Source organism: Homo sapiens, chromosome X, assembly GCF_000001405.40.
Source record: "Homo sapiens chromosome X, GRCh38.p14 Primary Assembly".
Taxonomy (NCBI): domain Eukaryota; kingdom Metazoa; phylum Chordata; class Mammalia; order Primates; family Hominidae; genus Homo; species Homo sapiens.
In genome coordinates this window covers 74,022,492-74,048,050 of record NC_000023.11, presented here as the reverse complement: position 1 = coordinate 74,048,050, position 25,559 = coordinate 74,022,492, and the positions used below count along the sequence as shown (strand labels likewise).

The 25,559-nt window shown below is 39.0% G+C and overlaps 2 long non-coding RNA genes and 1 pseudogene across 2 annotated transcripts in view; 1 reads left to right on the top strand and 2 right to left on the bottom strand.

Moving 5' to 3' along the window:
- Positions 1-19,915, top strand: part of FTX (FTX transcript, XIST regulator) — a 265,439-nt gene extending 245,524 nt beyond the window's left edge. The window contains exons 6-7 of the long non-coding RNA NR_028379.1: positions 16,211-16,455; positions 18,500-19,915. This is a non-coding gene — a long non-coding RNA (FTX transcript, XIST regulator). The remainder of the gene's footprint in view (positions 1-16,210; positions 16,456-18,499) is intronic.
- Positions 1-25,559, bottom strand: part of JPX (JPX transcript, XIST activator) — a 126,061-nt gene that overhangs the window by 22,334 nt on the left and 78,168 nt on the right. The window lies entirely within an intron of this gene.
- On the bottom strand, positions 16,212-16,590 carry RPSAP14 (ribosomal protein SA pseudogene 14; annotated as a pseudogene).

Here is a 25,559-nt window from a genome sequence, read left to right as displayed (position 1 = left end):
TGATTAAATAGGCCTCAAGAATTATTTTTCTCAAATTTTCTTTTTATTTTTGGTTTGAGACAGAGTCTTACTCTGTCACCCAGGTTGGAGTGCAGTGGCGCAATCATGGCTCGCCGTCGCCTTGACATCTAGGCTCAGGTGATCCTCTCATCTCAGCCCCCCAAGTAGCTGGGACTACAGGTGTGTGCTACCACACTTGGCTAACTTTTGTATTTTTTTTTTTTTTTTGAGATGGGGTCTAGCTCTGTCGCCCAGGCTGGAGTGCAGTGGCGCAATCTCGGCTCACTGCAACCTCTGCCTCCCAGGTTCAAGTGATTCTCCTGCCTCAGCCTCCTGAGTAGCTAGGATTACAGGTGCCCGCCACCACGCCTGGCTAAGTTTTGTATTTTTAGTAGAGACAGGTTTTCACCATGTTAGTCAGTATGGTCTTGATCTCCTGACCTCGTGATCCTCCCGCCTTGGCCTCCCAAAGTGCTGGGATTACAGGCGTGAGCCACTGCACCTGGCCCAAGACAGAGTCTTGCTCTGTGGCCAGGCTGTGGTACAGTGGCGTGATCTCAGCTCACTGCAGCCCCCGGCTCCCTGGTTCAAGCGATTCTCCTGCCTCAGCCTCCCAAGTAGCTGGGATTACAGGCAGGTGCCACCACGCCCAGCTAATTTTTGTATTTTTAGTAGAGACAGGGTTTCACCATGTTGGGGAGGGTGGTCGCGATCTCCTGACCTTGTGATCCGCCCACCTCAGCCTCCCAAAGTGCTGGGATTACAGGCATGAGCCACCGCGCCCGGCCTGGCCCTTGGCATTTTAATTTACAACTGTTCCCATTCACCACCCCATCCCCCAACACTCAGTATCACAGCATGGTAAACTGGCAGTTTTGCTGTCCCCAGAGTCACCTGACTTAATTTGGATCGCTACAAAAATGCTTCTCACCTAACTAATTGTCAAAAACAATTAGTTGGTGGCAAACAATTAGGTAAATTCAACATTGTGGCTCTTTATTGCTGCAAGAAACAAGATAAAAAATTCAGTGGACAACCTGAGAAATGGGAAAATAATAAAAAGCTTAAGGGGGTGGCAGGCAAGATGGCTGAATAATAACAGCTGTGGTCTGAAGATCCCAGCGAGCTCATCACAGAAGGAAGGTGATTTCTGCATTTCCAACTGAGGTACCCAGCTCATCTCATCGGAATTGGTTAGACAGTGGGTGCAGCTCACGAAGGGCCAGCTGAGCAGGGTGGAGTGTTGCCTCACCCAGGAAACGCAAGGGGTCAAGGAACTCCCTTCCCTAGCCAAGGGAAGCTGTGAGGGACTGTGCCATGAAAAATGGTGCAGTCCAGCCCAGATACTATGCTTTTCCCACGCTCTTTGCAACCCACAGATCAGGAGATTCCCTCAGGTGCCTATGCTACCAGGGCCCTGGGCTTCAAGCACAAAATTTGGTGGCTGTTTGGGCAGACACCGAGATAGCTGCAGTTTCTTTTCATACCCCAGTGGCGCCTGGAACACCAGCGAGACAGAACTGTTGACTCCCCCTAGAAAGGGGGCTGAAGCCAGGGAGCCAAGTGGTGTAGCTCAGTGGATCCCACCCCAGCTTCGTGGGGGTAGAGGCGTCTGCTGATACTGAGGCTTGGTTAGGCAGTTTTCCGCTGTCAGTGTAAACAAAGCTGCCAGGAAGTTCGAACTGGGCAGAGCCCACCACAGCTCGGCAAAAACTGTAGCCAGACTGCCTCTCTAGATTCCTCCTCTCTGAGCAGGGCATCTCTGAAAGAAAGGCAGCAGCCCCAGTCAGGGGTTTATAGAAAAAACTCCCAACTCCCTGGGACAGAGCACCAGGGGAAAGGGGCATCTGTGGGTGCAGCTTCAGCAGACTTAAACGTTCCCACCTACCAGCTCTGAAAATAGCAGAAAATCTCCCAGCACAGTGCTCGAGCTCTGCTAAGGGAAAGATGGCCTCCTCAAGTGGGTCCCTGACCCCTGTGCCTCCTGACTAGGAGACACCTCCCAGCAGGGGTTAACAGACACCTCATACAAGAGAGCTCCAGCTGGCATCTGGCAGGTGCCCCTCTGGGATGAAGCTTCCAAAGGAAGAAACAGGCAGCAATCTTTGTGGTTCTGCAGCTTCCACTGGTGATACCCAGGCAAATAGGGTCTGGAGTGGACCTCCAGCAAACTGCAGCAGACCTGCAGCTGAGTGGCATGACTGTTAGAAGGAAAACTAACAAACAGAAAGGAATAGCATCAACATCAACAAAAAGGACTTCCATACAAAAACCCCATCCGAAGGTCACCAACATCAAAGACCAAAGGTAGATAAATCCATGATGATGAGGAAAAACCAGTGCAAAAGGCTGAAAATTCCAAAAACCAGAACACCTCTTCTCCTCCAAAGGATCACAACTCCTCGCCAGCAAGGGAACAAAACTGGATGGAGAATGAGTTTAACAAACTGACAGAAGTAGGCTTCAGAACGTGGGTAATAAACTCCTCTAAGCTAAAGGAGCATGTTCTAACACAATGCAATTAAACTAAGAACTTTGAGAAAAGGTTAGAGGAATTGCTAACTAGAATAACCAGTTTAGAGAAGAACATAAATGACCTGATGGAGCTAAAAAAACACAGCACGAAAACTTCATGAAGCATACACAGGTGTCAATAGATGAATTGATTGTAGAGTTTCTGCAGACAGATTCTGTTTCAAGCAGTAGAAAGGATATCAGAGATTGAAGGTCAACTTAATGAAATAAAGTGAGAAGACAAGATTAGAGAAAAAAAGAATGAAAAGGCACGAACAAAGCCTCCAAGAAATATGGGACTATGTGAAAAGCCCAAATCTATGATTGATTGGGGTCCCTAAAAGTGACGTGGAGAATGGAACCAATTTGGAAAACACTCTTCAGGATATTATCCAGGAGAATTCCCCCAACCTAGCAAGACAGACCAACATTCAAATTGGGGAAATACACAGGACACCGCAAAGATACTCTTTGAGAAGGGCAACTCCAAGACACATAATTGTCAGATTCAGCAAGGTTGAAATGAAGGAAAAAATGTTAAGGGCAGCCAGAGAGAAAGTTTGACTTACCCACAAAGGGAAGCCCATCAGACTAACAGCAAATCTCTCTGCAGAAACTCTACAAGCTAGAAGAGAGTGGGGGCCAATATTCAACATTCTGTAAAAAAAGAATTTTCAACTCAGAATTTCATATCCAGCCAAACTAAGCTTCATAAGTGAAGAAATAAAATCATTTAGAGAAGCAAATTCTGAGATTTTGTCACCACCAGGACTGCCTTACAAGAACTCCTGAAAAAAGCACTACACATAAAAAGGAACAACGGGTACCAGCCACTGCAAAAACATACCAAATTCTAAAGGCCATCGACACTATGAAGAAACTGCGTCAACTAATGTGCAAAATAACCAGCTAGCATCATAATGAGAGGATCAAATTCACACACAATAATAACCTTAAATATAAACAGGCTAAATACCCCAATTAAAAGACACAGACTGGCAAATTGGATAAACAGTCAAGACCCATCGGTGTGCTGTATTCAGGAGACCCATCTCATGCAAAGATGCACATAGGCTCAAAATAAAGGGATGGAGGAATATTTACCAAGCAAATGGAAAGCAAAAAAAAAAAAAAAAGGCAGGGGTTGCAATCCCAGTCCCTGATAAAAAAGACTTTAAGCCAACAAAGATCAAAAAAGACAAAAAAGGGCATTACATAATGGTAAAGGGATCAATGCAGCAGGAAGAGGTAACTCCTAAATATATATGCACTCAATACAGGAGCACCCAGATTCATAAAGCAAATTCCTAGAGACCTACAAAGAGACTTAGATTCCCACACAATAGTGAGAGACTTTCACACCCCACTGTCAATATTAGACAGATCAACGAGACAGAAAATTAACAAGAATATTCAGGACTTGAACTCAGCTCTGGACCAAGCAGAACTGATAGACATCTACAGAACCCTCAACCAAAAATCAACAGAATATACATTTTTCTCAGCACCACATGGCACTTATTCTAAAATTGACCACATAACTGGAAGTAAAACACTCCTCAGCAAATACAAAAGAATGCAAATCATAACAGTCTCTCAGACCACAGTGCAATCAAATTAGAACTCAGGATTAAGAAACTCACTCAAAACCACAAAACTACATGGAAACTGAACAAACTGCTCCTGAATGACTACTGGGTGAGTAATGAAATTAAGGCAGAAAAATAAAGATATTCTTAGAAACCAATGAGAACAAAGACACAACGTACCAGAATCTCTGGGACACAGCTAAAGCAGTGTTAAGAGGGAAATTTATAGCACTAAATGCCAACAAGAGAAAGCAGGAAAGATCTAAAATTGACACCCTAAAATTACAATTTAAAAAACTAGAGAAGCAAGAGCAAACAAATTCAACAGCTACCAGAAGACAAGAAATAACTAAAATCAGAGCAGAACTGAAGGAGATAGAGACAGGAAAAAACTTCAAAAAAATCAGTGAATCCAGGAGCTGTTGTTTTGAAAAGATCAACAAAATAAATAGACTGCTAGCCAAACTAATAAACAAGATAAGAGAGAAGAATCAAATAGATGCAATAAAAAGTGATAAAATGATATCACCGCTGATCCCACAGGAATACAAGTTACTATCAGATAATACTATAAACACCTCTATGCAAATAAACTAGAAAATCCAGTAGAAATGGATAAATTCCTGGACACATGCACCCTCCCAAGTCTAAACCAGGAAGAAGTCGAATCCCTGAATAGACCAATAACAAGTTTTGAAATTCAGGCAGTAATAGCCTACCAACCATAAAAAGTCCAGGAACAGACGGATTCACAGCCGAATTCTACCAGAGGTACAAAGAGAAGCTGGTGCCATTCCTTCTGAAACTATTCCAAACAATAGAAAAAGAGAGACTCCTCCCTAACTCATTTTATGAGGCCAGCATCTTCCTGATACCAAAACCTGGCAGAGACACAACAAAAAAAGAAAATTTCAGGCCAATATCCCTGATGAACATCAATGCGAAAATCCTCAATAAAATACTGGCAAACCGAATACAGCAGCACATCAAAAAGCTTATCTACCATGATCAAGTCAGCTTTATCCCTGGGATGCAAGTCTGGTTCAACATAGGCAAATCAATAAGCATAATGCATCACATAAACAGAAGCAATGACAAAGACCACATGATTACCTCAATAGATGCAGAAAAGGCCTTCAACAAAATTCAACACCGCTTCATGCTAAAAACTCTCAATAAATTAGGTATTGGTGGACCCTATCTCAAAATAATAAGAGCTATTTATGACAAACCAACAGCCAATATCTTACTGAATGAGCAAAAACTGGAAGCATACCCTTTGAAAACCAGCACAAGAAAAGGATGCCCTCTCTCACAACTCCAATTCAACATAGTACTGGAAGTTCTGGCCAGGGAAATAAGGCAAGAGAAAGAAATAAATGATATTCAAATAGGAAGAAAGGACGTCACATTCTCTCTGCAGATGACATGACTGTATATTTAGAAAACCCCATTGTATCAGCCCAAAATCTCCTTAAGCTGATAAGCAACTTCAGCGAAGTCTCAGGATACATAATCAATGTGCAAAAATCACAATCATTCCTACAAACCAATAACAGACAAGCAGAGAGCCAAATCATGAGTGAACTCCCATTCACAGTTGCTACAAAAAGAATAACATACCTAGGAATACAACTTACCAGGGAGGTGAAGGACATCTTCAAAGAGAACTACAAACCACTGCTCAAGGAAATAAGAGAGGACACAAATAAATGGAAAAACATTCCATGCTCCTGGATAAGAAGAATCAATATTGTGAAAATGGCCATACTGACCAAAGTAATTTATAGATTCAATGTTATCCCCATCAAGCTACCATGTACTTTCTTCACAGAATTAGAAAAAATTACTTTAAATTTCATATGGCAGCAGAAAAGAGCCCATATAGCCAAGACAATCCTAAAAAAAAAGAATAAAGCTGGAGACATCACACTTCCTGACTTTAAACTATACTGCAAGTCTACAGTAACCAAAACAGCATGGTACTGGTACCAAAACAGAGATATAGACCAATGGAACAGAAAAGAGGCCTCAGAAATAACCACACATCTACAACCATCTGATCTTTGACAAACTTGACAAAAACAAGCAATGGGGAAAGGATTCCATATTTCATAAATGGTGTTGGGAAAGCTGGCTAGCCATATGCAGAAAACTGAAACTGGACCCTTTCCTTACACCTTATACAAAAATTAACTCAATATGGATTAAAGACTGAAACGGAAGACCTAAAACCCTAAAATCCCTAGAAGAAAACCTAGGCAATACCATTCAGGACATAGGCATGGGCAAAGACTTCAGGACTAAAGCAACAAAAGCCAAAATTGACAAATAGGATCTAATTAAACTAAAGAGCTTCTGCACAGCAAAAGAAACTATCATCAGAGTGAACAGGCAACCCACAGAATGGGAGAAAATTTTTGCAATCTATCCATCTGACAAAGGGCTAATATCCAGGATCCACAAAGAACTTAAACAAATTTACAAGAAAAAAAGGAACAAGCCCATCAAAAAGTGGGCAAAGGATATGAACAGGCACTTCTCAAAAGAAGACATTTACACAGCCAACAAACATGAAAAAAAGCTCATCATCACTTGTCATTAGGGAAATGCAAATCAAAACCACAATGAGATACCTTCTCACGCCAGTTAGAATGGCGATCATTAAAAAGTCGGGAAACAACAGATGCTGGAGAGGCTGTGGAGAAATAGGAACACTTTTACACTGTTGGTGGGAGTGTAAATTAGTTCAACCATTATGGAAGATAGTGTGGTGATTCCTCAAGGATCTAGAATTAGAAATACCATTTGACCAAGCAATCCCATTACTGAGTATATACCCAAAGGATTGTAAGTCATTCTACTATAAAGACACATGCACACATATGTTCATTGTGGCACTATTCACAATAGCAAAGACTTGGAGCCAACCCAAATGCCCATCAATGATAGATTGGATAAAAAAATTGTTGCACATATCTACCATGGAATACTATGCAGCCATAAAAAAGGATGAATTCATGTCCTTTGCAGGGACATGGATGAGGCTAGAAACCATCATTCTTAGCAAACTAACAAGAACAGAAAACCAAACACTGCATGTTCTCACTCATAAATGGGAGTTGAACAATGAGAACACATGGACACAGGGAGTGGAACATCACACACTGGGGCCTGTTGGGGAGGTGGGGCACTAGAGGTGGGATAGCATTAAGAGAAATACCTAATGTAGATGACAAGTTGATAGGTGCAGCAAACCACCATGGCACATGTATACCTATGTAACAAACCTGCACATTCTGCACATGCACCCCAGAACTTACAGTATTAAAAAAAAGAAGAACAGAAACCAAAATAGATCCATCCTTGTATGGTTAATTAACATACAGACAAAGGTGCCAAAGCAATCCAATGGGAAAAGAAAGTCTTTTTAACAAATGGTGTTGAACAACTAGACATCAGTATGGAAAATAACAATGTTGTCTCCTACCTTATACCATAGACAGAAGTTAATTTGAGTTGGCGATGTGGTTTGGATTTGTGTTTCCACCCAAATATCATGTCAAATTGTAATCCCCAATGTTGCGGGAGGGGCCTGCTGGGAGGTAATTGGATCATGGAAGCACATTTCCCACTAGCTGTTCTCATGATAGTGAGTTCTCACGAGATCTGATTGTTTAAAAGTGTGTAGCACCTCCCACTTCACTCTCTTCCTCCTGCTCCAGCCATGTAAGATGTGCTTGCTTCCCTTTCTACCATGACTGAAAATTTCCTGAGGCATGCCCAGGGATGCTTCCTGTATAGCCTGTGGAACCATGAACCAATTCAAAATAAAAAAAAAAAAAAACAAAAAAACAAACAAACAAAAAAAGAAGATGGCCGAATAGGAACAGCTCCAGTCTACAGCTCCCAGCATGAGCGATGCAGAAGATGGGTGATTTCTGCATTTCCAACTAAGGTACCAGGTTCATCTCACTGTGGCTTGTCGGACACTGGGTGCAGGAAAGTGGGTGCAGTGCCCCGAGCATGAGCCGAAGCAGGGCGAGGCATTGCCTCACCCACGAAGTGCAAGGGGTCAGGGAATTCCCTTTCCTAGCCAAGCAAAGCTGTGACAGACAGCACCTGGAAAATCGGGTCACTCCCACCCTAATACTGTGCTTTTCCAATGGTCTTAGGAAACGGAACACCAGGAGATTATATCCTACACCTGGCTCAGAGGGTCCCATGCCCACAGAGCCTCACTCATTCCTAGCACAGCAGTCTGAGATCGAACTGCAAGGCGGCAGTGAGGCTGGGGGAGGGGCACCCACCATTGCTGAGGCTTGAGTAGGTAAACAAAGTGGCTGGGAAGCTCGAACTGGGTGGAGCCCACCGCAGCTCAAGGAGGCCTGCCTGCCTCTGTAGACTCCACCTCTGGGGGCAGGGCATAGCCGAACAAAAGGCAGCAGAAACGTCTGAAGACTTAAAATGTCCCTGTCTGACAGCTATGAAGAGAGTGGTGGTTCTCCCAGCACAGAGTTTGAAATCTGAAAATGGACAGACTGACTCCTCAAGTAGGTCCCTGAGCCCGGAGTAGCCTAACTGGGAGGCACCCCCCCAGTAGGGGCAGACTGACACCTCACACGGCCAGGTACCCCTCTGAGATGAAACTTCCAGAGGAATGATCAGGCAGCAACATTTGCTGTTCAGCAATATTCGCTGTTCTGCAGCCTCTGCTGCTGATATCCAGGCAAACAGGGTCTGGAGTGGACCTCCGGCAAACTCCAACAGACCTGCAGCTGAGTGTCCTGACTGTTAGAAGGAAAACTAACAAACAGAAAGGACATGCACACCAAAACCCCATCTGTACGTCACCATCATCAAAGACCAAAGGTAGATAAAACCACAAAGATGGGGAAATAACAGAGCAGAAAAACTGAAAATTCTAAAAATCAGAGCACCTCTCCTCCTCGAAAGGAATGCACCTCCTCACCAGCAGTGGAACAAAGCTGGAGGGAGAATGACCTTGACGAATAGAGAGAAGAAGGCTTCAGAAAATCAAACTTCTCTGAGATACAGGAGGAAGTTCGAACCCATCACGAAAAAGTTAAAAACCTTGAAAAAAGATTAGATGAATGGCTAACTAGAATAACCAGTGTAGAGAAGTCCTTAAAGGACCTGATGGAGCTGAAAACCATGGCACGAGAACTACGTGACGAATGCACAAGCTTCAGTAACCGATTTCATCAACTGGAAGAAAGGGTATCAGGGATTGAAGATCAAATGAATGAAATGAAATGAGAAATTTAGAGAAAAAAGAATAAAAAGAAATGAAGAAAGCCTCCAAGAAATATAGGACTATGTGAAAAGACCAAATCTACGTCTGATTGGTGTACCTGAAAGTGACGGGGAGAATGGAACCAAGTTGGAAAACACTCTGCAGGATATTATCCAGGAGAACTTCCCCAACCTAGGAAGGCAGGCCAACATTCAAATTCAGGAAATACAGAGAATGCCACAAAGATACTCCTCAAGAAGAGCAACTCCAAGACACATAATTGTCAGACTCACCAAAGTTGAAATGAAGGAAAAAGTCTTAGGGCAGCCAGAGAGAAAGGTCGGGTTACCCACAAAGGGAAGCCCATCAGACTAACAGTGGATCTCTCGGCAGAAACTCTACAAGCCAAAAGAGAGTGGAGGTCAATATTCAACATTCTTAAAGAAAAGAATTTTCAACCCAGAATTTCATATCCAGCCAAACTAAGCTTCATAAGTGAAGGAGAAATAAAATCCTTTACAGACAAGCAAATGCTTAGAGATTTTGTCACCACCAGGCCTGCCCTAAAAGAGCTCCTGAAGGAAGCACTAAACATGGAAAGGAACAACCGGTACCAGCCACTGCAAAAACAAGCCGAATTGTAAAGACCATCGAGGCTAGGAAGAAACTGCATCAACTAACGAGCAAAATAACCAGTTAACATCATAATGACAGTATCCAATTCACACATAATAATATTAACCTTAAATGAAAATGGGCTAAATGCTCCCAATTAAAAGGCACAGACTGGCAAATTGGATAAACAGTCAAGACCCATCAGTGTGCTGTATTCAGAAAACCCATCTCAAGTGCAGAGACACACATAGGCTCAAAATAAAGGGATGGAGGAAAATCTACCAAGCAAATGGAAAACAAAAAAAGGCAGGGGTTGCAATCCTAGTCTCTGATAAAACAGACTTTAAATCAACAAAGATCAAAAGAGACAAAGAAGGCCATTACATAATGGTAAAGGGATCAATTCAACAAGAAGAGCTAACTATCCTAAATATATATGCACCCAATACCGGAGCACCCAGATTCATGAAGCAAGTCCTTAGAGACCTACAAAGAGACTTAGACTCCCACACAATAATAATGGGAGACTTTAACACCCCACTGTCAACATTAGACAGATCAACGAGACAGAAAGTTAAAAAGGATATCCAGGAATTGAACTCAGCTCTGCACCAAGCGGACCTAATAGACATCTACAGAACTCTCCACCCCAAATCAACAGAATATACATTCTTCTCAGCACCACATCACACCTTCCTAAATCGACCACATAATTGGAAGTAAAGCACTCCTCAGCAAATGTAAAACAACAGAAATTATAACAAACTGTCTCTCAGACCACAGTGCAATCAAATTAGAACTCAGGATTAAGAAACTTACTCAAATCTGTTCAACTACATGGAAACTGAACAACCTGCTCCTGAATGACTACTGGGTACACAACAAAATGAAGGCAGAAATAAAGATGTTCTTTGAAACCAAGGAGAACAAAGACACAACATACCAGAATCTCTGGGACACATTGAAAGCAGTGTGTAGAGGGAAATTTATAGCACTAAATGCCCACGAGAGAAGGCAGGAAAGATCTAAAATTGACACCCTAACATCACAAATAAAAGAACTAGAGAAGCAAGAGCAAACACATTCAAAAGCTAGCAGAAGGCAAGAAATAACTAAGATCAGAGCAGAACTGAAGGAGATAGAGACACAAAAAACCCTTCAAAAAATCAATGAATCCAGGACGTGGTTTTTTGAAAAGATCAACAAAATGGATAGACCACTAGCAAAAGTAATAAAGAAGAAAAGAAAAGAGAGAAGAATCAAATAGATGCAATAAAAAATGATAAAGGGGATATCACCACCGATCCCACAGAAATACAAACTGCCATCAGAGAATACTATAAACACCTCTACACAAATAAACTAGAAAATCTAGAAGAAATGGATAAATTCCTCAACACATATACCCTCCCAAGACTAAACCAGGAAGAAGTTGAATCTCTGAATACACCAATAACAGGCTCTGAAATTGAGGCAATAATTAATAGCTGACCAACCAAAAAAAGTCCAGGACCAGATGGATTCACAGCCGAATTCTACCAGAGGTACAAGGCGGAGCTTGTACCATTCCCTCTGAAATTATTCCAATCAATAGAAAAAGAGGGAATCCTCCTTAACTCATTTTATGAGGCCGGCATCATCCTGATGCCAAAGCCTGGCAGAGACACAACAAAAAAAGAGAATTTTAGACCAATATCCCTGATGAACATCGATGCAAAAATCCTCAATAAAATATTGGCAAACGGAATCCAGCAGCACATCAAAAAGCTTATCCACCATAATCAAGTGGGCTTCATCCCTGGGATGCAAGGCTGGTTCAACATACGCAAATCAGTAAACGTAATCCAGCATATAAACAGAACCAACGACAAAAACCATATGATTATCTCAATAGATGCAGAAAAGGCCTTTGACAAAATTCAACAACGCTTCATGCTAAAAACTCTCAATAAATTAGGTATTGATGGGATGTATCTCAAAATAATAAGAGCTATTTATGACAAACCCACAGGAAATATCATACTGAATGGGCAAAAACTGGAAGCATTCCCTTTGAAAACTGGCACAAGACAGGGATGCCCTCTCTCACCACTCCTATTCAACATAGTGTTGGAAGTTCTGGCCAGGGCAATCAGGCAGGAGAAAGAAATAAAGGGTATTCTATTAGGAAAAGAGGAAGTCAAATTGTCCCTGTTTGCAGATGACATGATTGTATATCTAGAAAACCCCATTGTCTCAGCCCAAAATCTCCTCAAGCTGATAAGCATCTTCAGCAAAGTCTCAGGATACAAAATCAATGTGCAAAAATCACAAGCATTCTTATACACCAATAACAGAGACAGAGCCAAATCATGAGTGAACTCCCATTCACAATTGCTTCAAAGAGAATAAAATACCTAGGAATCCAACTTACAAGGGATGTGAAGGACCTCTTCAAGAAGAACTACAAACCACTGCTCAGCAAAAGAAAAGAGGATACAAACAAATGGAAGAACATTTCATGCAAATGGATGGGAAGAATCAATATCCTGAAAATGGCCATACTGCCCAAGGTAATTTATAGATTCAATGCCATCCCCATCAAGCTACCAATGACTTTCTTCACAGAATTGGAAAAAACTACTTTAACGTTCATATGGAACCAAAAAAGGGCCCACATTGCCAAGTCAATCCTAAGCCAAAAGAACAAAGCTGGAGGCATCACGCTACCTGACTTCAAACTATACTACAAGGCCACAGTAACCAAAACAGCATGGTACTGGTACCAAAACAGAGATATAGACCAATGGAACAGATTGGAGCCCTCAGAAATAATACCACACATCTACAACCATCTGATCTTTGACAAACCTGACAAAAAACGAGCAATGGGGAAAGGATTCCCTATTTAATAAATGGTGCTGGGAAAACTGGCTAGCCATATGTAGAAAGCTGAAACTGGATGCCTTCCTTACACCTTATACAAAAATTAATTCAAGATGGATTAAAGACTTAAATGTTAGACCTAAAGCCATAAAAACCCTAGAAGAAATCCTAGGAAATACCATGCAGGACATAGGCATGGGCAATGACTTCATGTCTAAAACACCAAAAGCAATGGCAACAAAAGCCAAAATTGACAGATGGGATCTAATTAAACTAAAGAGCTCCTGCACAGCAAAGGAAACTACCATCAGAGTGAACAGGCAACCTACAGAATGGGAGAAAATTTTTGCAATCTACTCATCTGACAAAGGGCTAATACCCAGAATCTACAAAGAACTCAAACCAATTTACAAGAAAAAAACAACCCCATCAAAAAGTGGCAAAGGATATGAACAGACACTTCTCTAAAGAAGACTTTTATGCAGCCAACAGACATATGAAAAAATGCTCATCATCACTGGCCATCAGAGAAATGCAAATCAAAACCACAATGGGATACCATCTCACACCAGTTAGAATGGCAATCATTAAAAAGTCAGGAAACAACAGGTGCTGGAGAGGATGTGGAGAAATAGGAACACTTTTACACTGTTGGTGGGACTGTAAACTAGTTCAACCATTGTGGAAGACAGTGTGGCAATTCCTCAGGGATCTAGAACTAGAAATACCATTTGACCCAGCAATCCCATTACTGGGTATGTACCCAAAGGATTATAAATCATGCTGCTATAAAGACACATGCACACGTATGTTTATTGTGGCACTATTCACAATAGCAAAGACTTGGAACCAATCCAAATGTCCATCAGTGATAGACTGGATTAAGAAAATGTGGCACATATACACCATGGAATACTATGCAGCCATAAAAAAGGATGAGTTCATGTCCTTTGTAGGGACATGGATGAAGCTGGAAACCATTACTCTCAGCAAACTATCACAAGGACAAAAAAACAAACACTGCATGTTCTCACTCATAGGTGGGAATTGAACAATGAGAACACATGGACACAGGAAGGGGAACATCACACACTGGGGCCTGTTGTGGGGTGGGGGGAGGGGGAGAGATAGCATTAGGAGATATACCTAATGTAAATGACGAGTTAATGGGTGCAGCACACCAACATGGCACATGTATACATATGTAACAAACCTGCATGTTGTGCACATGTACCCTAGAACTTAAAGTATAACAATAAAGAAAAAAAATCCACCGGCACTCCATTTCCAGATAATTGAAAAGACATAGGGCCTTGCTCTGGATTAGGCGTTGGCTTGATGGTATGTTATAACTTGTTTGATATTCTATATGAATCACTAAAATGTTCTCCATATCAGCAATAAGGCTGTTTGGCTTTCTCAATATATATGTGTTTAGTGAAGTAACACTTTTAATTTTTTTCAAGAACTTTTCCTTTGCTTCCACAACTTTGCTATTTGGTGCAAGAGGCCTAGACTTCAGCCACTCAGCCTGCCATGTGCCTTCCTCACTAAGTTTAATCATTTTGAGATTTTGATATAAGGTGAAGAAAGTGCAAGTCTTCCTACCACTTAAACAACTAGAGGCCATTTCAGGATTACTGTGTCTCCTATATTCAGTATGTTTCTGTCTCAGGCAATAGGGAGGCCCTAGGTGGAGAAAGAAGATGAGGTAACAACTCATCAGAAAAGCAGTCAGAACACATTTGCTGATTAAGTTCATGATTTTACCTAAGTGAGATTCATAGTTCAATATCATAATAAAAATGGTAATAAGAATTCTGAAGAAAGTTCACTTACTATACCTAACAATGATAAAGAAAAGTGGAAAATTAACAAAATGTGGTATAGAGACACAAAGTCAACACAATGCTGCTGGAAAAAATGGCACCAACTGACTTGCTGGATGGAGGGTTGCCACATGGGTGGGTTTAAAAAAAAAACCCACCATGATATCTGAGAAACATAATAAAGCCACATGCAATAAAAGTAAAAATTTTTAATATTTGGTGTGTAGGCATTAAAATTCCTTGGGTAATTTAATTCTAAATATTTTATTTTTTGTTAGATATTGTAAATGGGATTGTTTTCTTGATTTGTGTCAGATAGCTTGCTGTTTCATTATAGAAATATTACTAATTTGTTTTTGTTGCATTTGTCTCCTCCAGTGATATTTAATTCCTTTTGTAGACTTGTTTTTGGTGAAATTCTTAAGAGTTTTCTGTACATATGATCATGTCATGTTTAAAAAATAAATAAATAAATAAATAATAACTCTTTCCAAGTTAAATGCTTTTTATTTTCTTGCCTTATTGCTGTGGTGAAAACTTCCAGTACTATGTTGAATGCAAGTGATGAGATTGGGCATTTGTGATGTGTTTTTTATTTGAGGAAAAGCTTTTATGTTTTCCCCTCTGAATAACATGTTAGCTCTAGGTTTTAAAATCATGGGATTTATTGCACTAGTGGCCTAGATTTCAGCCACTCAGCCTTCAACATTCCTTCCTCACTAAGTTCAATCATTGTTAGAGGCCATTTCAGGGTTACTGTTTGTCCTATTTTCAGTGTGGTTCTGTCTCAGGGAATAGGGAGACCCAATTCTTTGCCTAAATGTTTGAGTTGTTACCATGAAAAAATTATAAATATTCTCAAATGCTTTTATGATATTGACTGAGATGATCATATGGTTTTAATCCTTTGTTCTCTTAGTGTAATGCATAACATTAATTTCCATATATACAATCATTTTTGCATCACTGGGATGAATACCGCTTGATTATGAAAAATAAAATGTTTAATGCAGTGTTGAATTCAGGTTGCTAGTTTGTTGTAGAGCATTTGTGTGTCTATGTTCATCATAGATATTGGCCTCTGCTTGTCATAATTTTTTAATTTTTCTTTTTCATTATCTCAAAATTATAATTGCATATATTTATTGAATTTAGTGTGATGTTTTCGTATGTATTTAGGTTGCATATTAATCCAATCACATGCAGTTATCATTTCTTAGTGGTGAAAACATTGAAAAGTGTCTATTCTAACTCTTTTGAAATATACAGTATTTTACATTTAACCATAGTCATGATAGTGTGTGAAAGAACAGAATAATTTACTAGTCTTCTCTAATTGTCACTTTGTACCTAATGGCCAAATCAAAGGCCCCTCCCCTGTCTATTGTAACCACAGTTCTACTCTCTGACCTTAGGATATCAAATTTTTATTTTCTTAGTATCCATTTGAGTAAGATAATACAGCATTAGTCATTCAGTATCTAGCTTATTACAGTTAAAATGCTGTCTTCAAAATTTATTCATGTTATTGCAAATTACAGGATTCCTCCTTGGTCACTTTTCAGCAGCAGCCTGCTCTTCTTTTGCAATCTCTTCAGGATCTCTGTAGAAGTAGAGATCAGGCATGAACTCCCACGGGTGTTCACGGGAAATGGTGCCACGCATGCGCAGAACTTCCCGAGCCAGCATCCACCACATCAAACCCACTGAGTGAGCTCCCTTGTTGTTGCATGGGATGGCAATGTCCACGTATCACAGAGGAGAATCTGTGTTACACAGAGCAATGGTAAGTTGGTTAACATAAGATGCCTCCGTGAGAGGCTGGTGGTCAGCCCTGGGGTCAGTAACCACAAGCCATGGCTCCCGGAAGGCTGCCTGGATCTGGTTAGTGAAGGTTCCAGGAGTGAAGCAGCCAGCAATTTTTGCCAATTTTTTAAAATTCATATTACTTTTTTCTTGCTATTGAATTACGTTGGTTATATCTTCTTAACTCTTTGTCACATATACTGTTTGCAAATATTTTCTCCAATACTGTAAATTGACTCCTCACTCTTTTATTTTTTATTATTATTATACTTTAAGTTTTAGGGTACATGTGCACAATGTGCAGGTTAGTTACATATGTATACATGTGCCATGCTGGTGTGCTGCGCCCATTAACTCGTCATTTAGCATTAGGTATACCTCCCAATGCTATCCCTCCCCCCTCCCCCCACCCCACAACAGTCCCCAGAGTGTGATGTTCCCCTTCCTGTGTCCATGTGTTCTCATTGTTCAATTCCCACCTATGAGTGAGAACATGCAGTGTTTGGTTTTTTGTCCTTGCGATAGTTTACTGAGAATGATGATTTCCAATTTCATCCATGTCCCTACAAAGGACATGAACTCATCCTTTTTTATGGCTGCATAGTATTCCATGGTGTATATATGCCACATTTTCTTAATCCAGTCTATCATTGTTGGACATTTGGGTTGGTTCCAAGTCTTTGCTATTGTGAATAGTGCCACAATAAACATACATGTGCATGTATCTTTATAGCAGCATGATTTATAGTCCTTTGGGTATATACCCAGTAATGGGATGGCTGGGTCAAATGGTATTTCTAGTTCTAGATCCCTGAGGAATTGCCACACTGACTTCCACAAAGGCCGAGAAGCGATGACTCCTCACTCTTTTAATACTCTTTCGCTGTGCAAAAGCTTTAAACTTTGATATACTCTCATTTGGTTATTTTTCCTTTTATTCCCTGAAAAGTTCAGGTCTCATTTCTAAATCCTTGCCCAGCAAAATATCATGAATCATTTCCCCCATTTTCTTCAAGAAGTTTCATAGTTTCCAATTTTACATTTAATTCTTTATTCAATTGGGAGTTAATTTTTGTGTATTTTTAGATGTAGACTTCTAATCTAATTCTTTTGCATGTAATTATCAAATTTTCCCAGTACCATTTACACGGTAAATGTTTTATTTTCCCTGAAGTGTGCTCCTGGCAACTTTGTGAAGAATCAGTTATGTTTAGGAGCTTTAGTTTATTTCCTTTCTACTCTGTTCCAGTTGTGTCTGTGTCTGTCTTATGCCAGACAATGCTGTTCTGGTTACTATAATTTTGTAGTCTATATTAAAGCCAGATACTTCAATTACCCTGGATCTCCTCATTTTCTTTAATATTTTTTCATTTAAGATTTTTGTTGCTCCATACAATTTCAGAATTATTTTCTTCTGTTTATAGACAAAACTAACATAACATCAGAAATTTAATAGGGATGCACAGATCAATAGATTGCTTTGAGTAGTATATATATTTTAAGATATAAATTATTCTAACACATAAATATAAAATATATTTCTACTCATTTGTGTCGTCAATTTCTTCCTTCAATGCTTTTATTACAAAATGAATTATTTTTTAAAGAGTTTTCATTACAGAAATCTTTGGCTTGTTCAGATCTCTTCCTCGGTACTTTTGTAAGCTATTGTCAATGAGACTCATTTCTTGTTTTCTTTTTGAAATTACCCACTGGTGGGATATAGAAATGCTACAGGTTTTTGTATGGCTGTTTTGTATTATGCAATTTTACTGAATTTCTTTATCACTTCCAAAAGGTTTTAAGGGGAGAGTGTATTTTCTTTCTTTCTTTCTTTTTTTTTTTTTTTTTGAGACAGAGTCTTGCTCTGTCACCCAGGCTGGAGTGCAGTGGCACGATCTTGGCTCACTGCAAGCTCCGCCTCCCAGGTTCATGTCATTCTCCTGCCTCAGCCTCCTGAGTAGCTGGGACTACAAGCGCCCGCCACCACCCCCAGCTAATTTATTTTTTTGTTTTTCTTTTAGTAGAGACGGGGTTTCACCGTGTTAGCCAGGATGGTCTCGATCTCCTGACCTCATGATCCACCCGCCTTGGCCTCCCAAAGTGCTGGGATTACAGGCGTGAACCACCGCGCCCGGCCAGGAGAGTGTATTTTCTACACATAAGTTCAGGTCATCTCCACACAGACCCAGTTTGCCTCCCTCTTTTCCGATCTGAATGCCTTTAATTTCCTTCTCTTGCCTAACTGTACTGGCTAGAACATCCCGAACTAGGTTGAATGAGGTGCTGAGAGTGGGCATAATTGGCTTCTTTACCTCCGAAGAAAATATTTCATGTTTTCTTCATTGATTATGATGTTAGTTGTGGGTATTTCATTTACTGCCTATATGGTATAAAGATACATTCCTTCTATGCCTAATTGGTTGACAGCTTTTATTATATCAAATTCTATAAAACTGTTTTATTTTTAAATCTATTGAGATGATCAAATGGCGGTGTCCCTCCTCCTTTATAAGACTATTTAAAACATCCTTGCCTCAGAGGGACAAATCCCATTTGAACATGGCAAGTAATCCTCTTAATATAAAGTGGAATTAGGTTTGACAGAAATTACCAGTGAAGCACTATGGGCATATATTTGATAGGAGATTTTTATTATGGATACAATTTACTTGTTATTGGTCTCTTCAGATATTCTTTCTCATGACTGGATTTGCGTACGTTGTATGAGTACAAATTTTTTCATTTATTCTACGCTGCTCTTTATTATATGCTTCCTTCTGTAAAATTTGGACTGTTTGTTCTTCCCATTATATTAATAGTTGCTTCAGGTGTAACATAAGGTTATTTTTTAAGTACTTTTCTGGTATCACAAATATTGGTGTTTTGTGTTTCATCTTTCATTTGTCAAAATATTTTTTAACTTCCATTTGGATTTAATGATTCACCCATTCATTATTCAAAAGCATATTGTTTAATTTCTATGTGTTTGTGAACATTCTAATGTTCATTCTACTAATAGTTCCTAGGTTCATGCAATGTGCTTAAAAATGTGGTATAATTTCTGTATTATTAAATGTAAAACTAGTCTTGATTCGTAACATAAGGCCTACGCAAAGATCCATCTTCTGCAGAGAAGAATGTAGATTGTGCCGCTGTTAGACGAAGTATTCTGTATACGTCAGTTTGCTTTATTTGGCATAAAGTGTAGTGTAAGCCAGATGTAGTGTAAGTCAGATCCAGATGATCTGCCCATTGCTGAAACTTCAGTACTTAAGTCCCCTATTATTATTGTATGGCAATCTATCTGTCCACTCAGAAGTTATTATATTTGTTTTATATGATTGAGCACTTCTGTTTTGGGTATATATGTATTTACAATTACTATAACCTCTTGCTGAATTAACCCCTTTTACCATTATGTAATAAACTTATTTCCCAAATTTTATGGTTTCTGGCTTCATGTATAGTTTGATGGAATAAGTTTAGCTACTGATACTCGTTTGCTTTCGATTTCTATACAATAGTTTTTCATCCCATTACTTTCAGTCCATGTGTCCTTACAAGTGAAGTGAGTGTCTTATAGGCAGTATTTTATAATATCCATTCTGCTACTCTATTTTTAATGAAGAATTTATTCCATTTAGATTCAAAATATTGTTAATATTTAAAGAAATGTTTGTAAATTGCTTTCTTGTTTATTACTAGATCCTTCCTTCATTTTTTTATTCTCCCACTATCTTGTAATTATTTTTTAATCTTGTGGTGTTGTAAAATGTCTTACTTTTTATTTTTTGTGTATCTACTATAGATATTTGGTGGTTCCATGAGACAACAAAAACACCTGATAAGCTATTTTAATAACAATTTTGATGGAAAAATAAGCGGTAACATTTTCACACTAATCTCTGAATTTTGAATATTCACCTGGATACATAAAAGTTGTACATTTTAGAGGGTACATGTGGTATTTTGATACATGAATACAGTCAGTAGTAATTGAACTAGGGTAGTTGAAACATGCATCACCCCAAACATTAGTCTCTTTTTATGTTAGGAACATTATAATTCCTCTATTATTTCAGCAACCTTAAACAATAACATGAAATACTGTTTACTGTTGTCACCTTACTGTACTATCAAATATTAGGACTTATTTATTCTACTTGTTTTTGTACTCATTAGTCAAAATTGTTGTCTTCCCCCCTTGAATAGAAGATCATTCAGTAACCAGCAATCAACTCTGCGCACCAAGCAGATCAACTATTTTATATTTTAACATATACATGAGAACACGCAGTGTTTATTTTTTTGTGCTTGGCTTCTTTCACTTACCATAATGACCTCCAATTCCAGTCATATTACTGAAAGTGATATGATTTTGTTCCTTTTAATTAACAATTTTCAATAGTGCATATATATAATATTGCCATTTTCCATGCATCCCTTGATGAACTTTCAGGTTAATTCAAAAGCTATTGTGAATAGAGCTGCAATAAGGAGATGGATGAAAATATCCTCCTAATATACTGATACCTTTCATTGTGATAAATACTGAGTAGTGGAATTGACACAGTATAGTGGTTACATCATTTGTTTTATGAGACAACACAATACTGTTTTCAAGAATGGCTATACAAATTTACATTCTCAGAAACAGTACATGAGCATAACCAATTGTATGCATGCTCAACACCATCTGTTGTCTTTTAGATATTTGTTTTAATTGCACAACATTCCATTGTGGCTTGAAATTGCACTTCCATGATGATTAGTGATGATGAAAAATTTTACATATACCTGTTGGCAACTTATGCCTTCTTTTAATCTATCCTTTAAAATCAGATTATTTGCTTGCCTTCTGATGATATGAATATATATTCTCATCGCTGTAAAAAACATAGTTATCAGGTTTTTTCCCATTATAATTTTGGTTTCACTATTTTGTTACCTCTATTGTGCAAAAGCATTTTAGCTAGATGTATGAACTTATGTCTATTTTTGCTTTTGTTGCCTCTGCTTTTCAGAGCTTACCAAAATATCTTTGCCTAGACAAATATCCAGAAGCATTTATACAAAGATTTTATCTACCACTTTTTATAGTTTCAGACATAAGCACTTAACCCATATTAATTTTATTTTTACATATGGTAAGATTCATTCTTCTGCATATGATTACCAAGTTTTCCCAGCAACTTTCATTGAAAGCACTATCCTTTCCACAACATATATTTATGGTGATTTTTAAAAATGAATTTTTTGTAAATGTCTGTATTTATCACTGGGTTCTTGATTTCATCCCACTGATCTACGTGTATATCATGCCAATATCATCACATTGTGTTTACAATGACATTGTAGTATCTTTTGAAGTAGTATGATGTCTTCATCTTTGCTTTTCCTCAGGATTACTTTTGATACTCAGTATCTCCTGTGGTCTCATGAATTTTATGAATTCTTTTTCTATTTCTATGAGGAATATCATTGATTTTTGATACAAAAAGAATGAATCTGCAGACTGCTTTAGGCAGTAATGATATTTTAATTATGAATAATTTCCCATTTCATTGTGTCCTATTCAGTTTCCATTATCAATGTTTTCCTTTTTGTTGCGGGAAGTCAGGGACCCCAAATGGAGGGACCTGCTGAAGCCATGGCAGAAGAACATAAATTGTAAAGATTTCATGGACATTTGTTTGTTCCCAAATTAATACTTTTATAATTTCTTACGCCTGTCTTTACTGCAATCTCTAAATATAAATTGTGAAGATTTCATGGACATTTATCACTTCCCCAATCAATACTCTTATAATCTCCTATGCCTGTCTTTAATCTCTTAATCCTGTTGTCTTCGTAAGCTGAGGATGTATGTCGCCTCAGGACCCTGTGATGATTGTGTTAACTGCACACGTTGTTTGTAAAGCATGTGTGTTTGAACAACATGAAATCTGGGCACCTTGAAAAAAAGGACAGGATAACAGCGATGTTCGGGGAACAAGGGAGATAACCATTAGGTTTGACTGCCTGGGAGCCAGGCAGGACAGAGTCATATTTCTCTTATTGCCGAAAATGGGTAAGAGAAATATCGCTGAATTCTTTCCCCAGTAAGGAATATTAATAATTAACAGCCCTGGGAAAAGAATGCATTCCCAGGGGGAGGCCTCTAAAATGGCCGCTCTGGGAGTGTCTGCCTTATGCAGTTGTAGATGGGGATGAAACATGCCCTGGTCTCCTGCAGCACCCCCAGGCTTGCTAGGATTAGGAAATTCCAGCCTGGCAAATTCTAGTCAGACTGGTTCTCTGCTCTTGAACTCTGTTTCCTGTTAAGATGTTTATCAATGACAATGCATGCACAGTGGGACATGAAACTTCATCAGCAATTCTAGTTTCACCCTGGCCTTGTGACCTTGCCCTGCCCATTTGCCTTGTGATATTTTATTGCCTTTGAAGCATGTGATCTCTGTGATCCACACCCTATTCGTACACTCTCTCCCCTTTGAAAATCGCTAATAAAAACTTGCTGGTTTTGTGGCTCGGGGCATCACAGAACCTGCTGACATGTGATGTCTTCCCCAGACACCCAGCTTTAAAATTTCTCTCTTTTGTACTCTTACCCTTTATTTCTCAGACCGGCCAACACTTAGGAAAAATAGAAAAGAACCTACATTGAAATATTGGGGGCCGGTTCCCTCAATACCTTGTAGGGATGTTTCATGACTTCAAAGTTTGACTATTTGATTTTTTTGTAGAGATTCCAAATGAGATTGCTTTCTTGAGTTCTTTTTCAGATTTTTCACTGTTGGCAAATGTAAATGCTAAAAATTTCTGTATTGCTCCTTAGAATCCTGCAGCAATATTATTTAACTTCTCTTCATTTGGATGCCCATTATTTCTTTCACTTGCCTAATAGCTCTGGATAGAATGTTATATGGAATAAAAGTGGTGAAAGTGGGCATCCTATCCTGTTCCAGATATTAGAGGAAGGAATTTCAATTGTTCATTATATTAGCTGTAGACTTGTTATATATAGATTTATGCTTGTTTTTATTTTAGATTTATCTACCCCTAACTAGTTCACTTGTTTATAAAAATCACATATGCTTAAATATTATTGGGACATGATAGTTGTATATATGTACATATATATGGGACACATGATATTGCAATACAAATGTGTCATGTGCAACAATCAAAACAAGGTAATGGAGATATACATTCCCTCGAGCATTCATCATTTCTCTGTGTTAGGAACAATCAACTTCTACTCTTGTAATTACTTTCAAATATACAATAATTATTTACTATAGCTGTCCTATTGTTCTCCCGCAAAACAGATCTTATTCCTACTTTCAAATGGCATTTTGTACTCCTTAACCATACCCTCCTTATTTCCTTTTCCTAACACATCAACCCATTACTGATAACCGTCATTCCACCCTCTAAATCCATAGGTTCTTTGTACCTACCACAAATGAGTGAGAATACACAGTCTTTCCATGCCTGGCTTATTTTACTTATTATGTCCTACTGTTCCATACATGTAGTTGCAAGTGACAGGATGTCATTCTTAAGTATGACTGAATATTCATTCTATTGTGTATACATACCACACTTTCTTTATCCATTCATCAACTGATGGACACACAGGGTGATTCTATATCCTAGTGATTGTAAATACTGCCATAAACATATCAGTGCAGCTATCTCTTCAATATATTTACATCCCTTCTTTTGGATGTAGCCCATGGAAGAAATGCTGAATAGTATGGTAGTTTTATCAACTAATTGTTTTAGAAAACCGTGAATATTGGCTGGGCGTGGTGGCTCACACCTGTAATCCCGGCACTTTGGGAGGCCAAGGCGGGTGGATCACCTGAGGTCAGGAGTTGGAGACCAGCCTGGCCAACATGGTGAAACTCTGCCTCTACTAAAAATACAAAAATTAGCTAGGTGTGGTGGCATATGCCTATAATCCCAGCTACTTGGGAGGCTGGGGCAGGAAAATTGCTTGAATCTGGAAGGCAAAAGTTGCAGTGAACCGAGATCATGCCACTGCACTCCAGCCTGGAATACAGAGCAAGACTCCCCCAACAGTGTTATCAGAGATCCCTTTTGCCTTCTTGCTTGACAGCATTATTTGTCCTTTTGATAACAGCTATTTGAACTGCAGTGAGAGAATCTCACATTGTGGTTTTGACTTGTGGTTTTTTTTCAGTTACTTCTTGGTCATGTTTGTGTATTCTTTGGAGAAATGGTTACTCTATTTGCCCATTTACAAAATCATATGGTTCCTTTTCTTCTGATGATTTGACATTGCTGCCACGTATTTTCAAAATAGTTCAACCATGTTGGTGCAAAGGACATAATTTCATTCTTTTTTATGATGTTGTAGTGTACCATGGTGTACATGTATGTTTTCTTCATATGGTCAGCCATCAGTGGGTGTTAAGCTTCACTTCATATCTTCACTATTATGAAGAGTGCTCCAATTGACATGCACATTCATGTGTCTTTATGGTCCTAAAATCTATACTCCTTTTGGTATAAAACCAATAATGGGATTCCTGCATCAAATGGTATTTCTGTTTGATGTTCTTGTTATTGGCAAAATCACCAAGCTGCTATCCACAATGGATGAAATAATTTACAATTCAACGAGCAATCCATAAGCATTCCCTTTTATCTGTAGATTCGACAACGTACTATTTTTGACTTTTTAGTAACAGCCATTCTGGTTGGTGTAAGACAGAATTGCATTGTGGTTTTAATTAGCATTTCTCTATAGATTAGTGATGTTCAGCATTTTGTCATATGACTCCTAGCTGTATGCATGTCTTCCTTTGAAAAAATGTCTATGTACTTTTTCATATTTTCAATGTGGTTTTCTCCCCATGAATTTAAGTAGCTTATAAATTCTGGATATTAGAACTTTGTCAGATGCATAATTTGCAGATATTTCTCCCATTCTGTACATTGTGTTCACCATTGATAGATTCTCTTGCTGTGCAGAATCTCTATAGTTTAACTAGGTTCTATTTGTCAATTTTTGTTTTTGCTGTAATTGCATTTGGAGTCTTCATCATA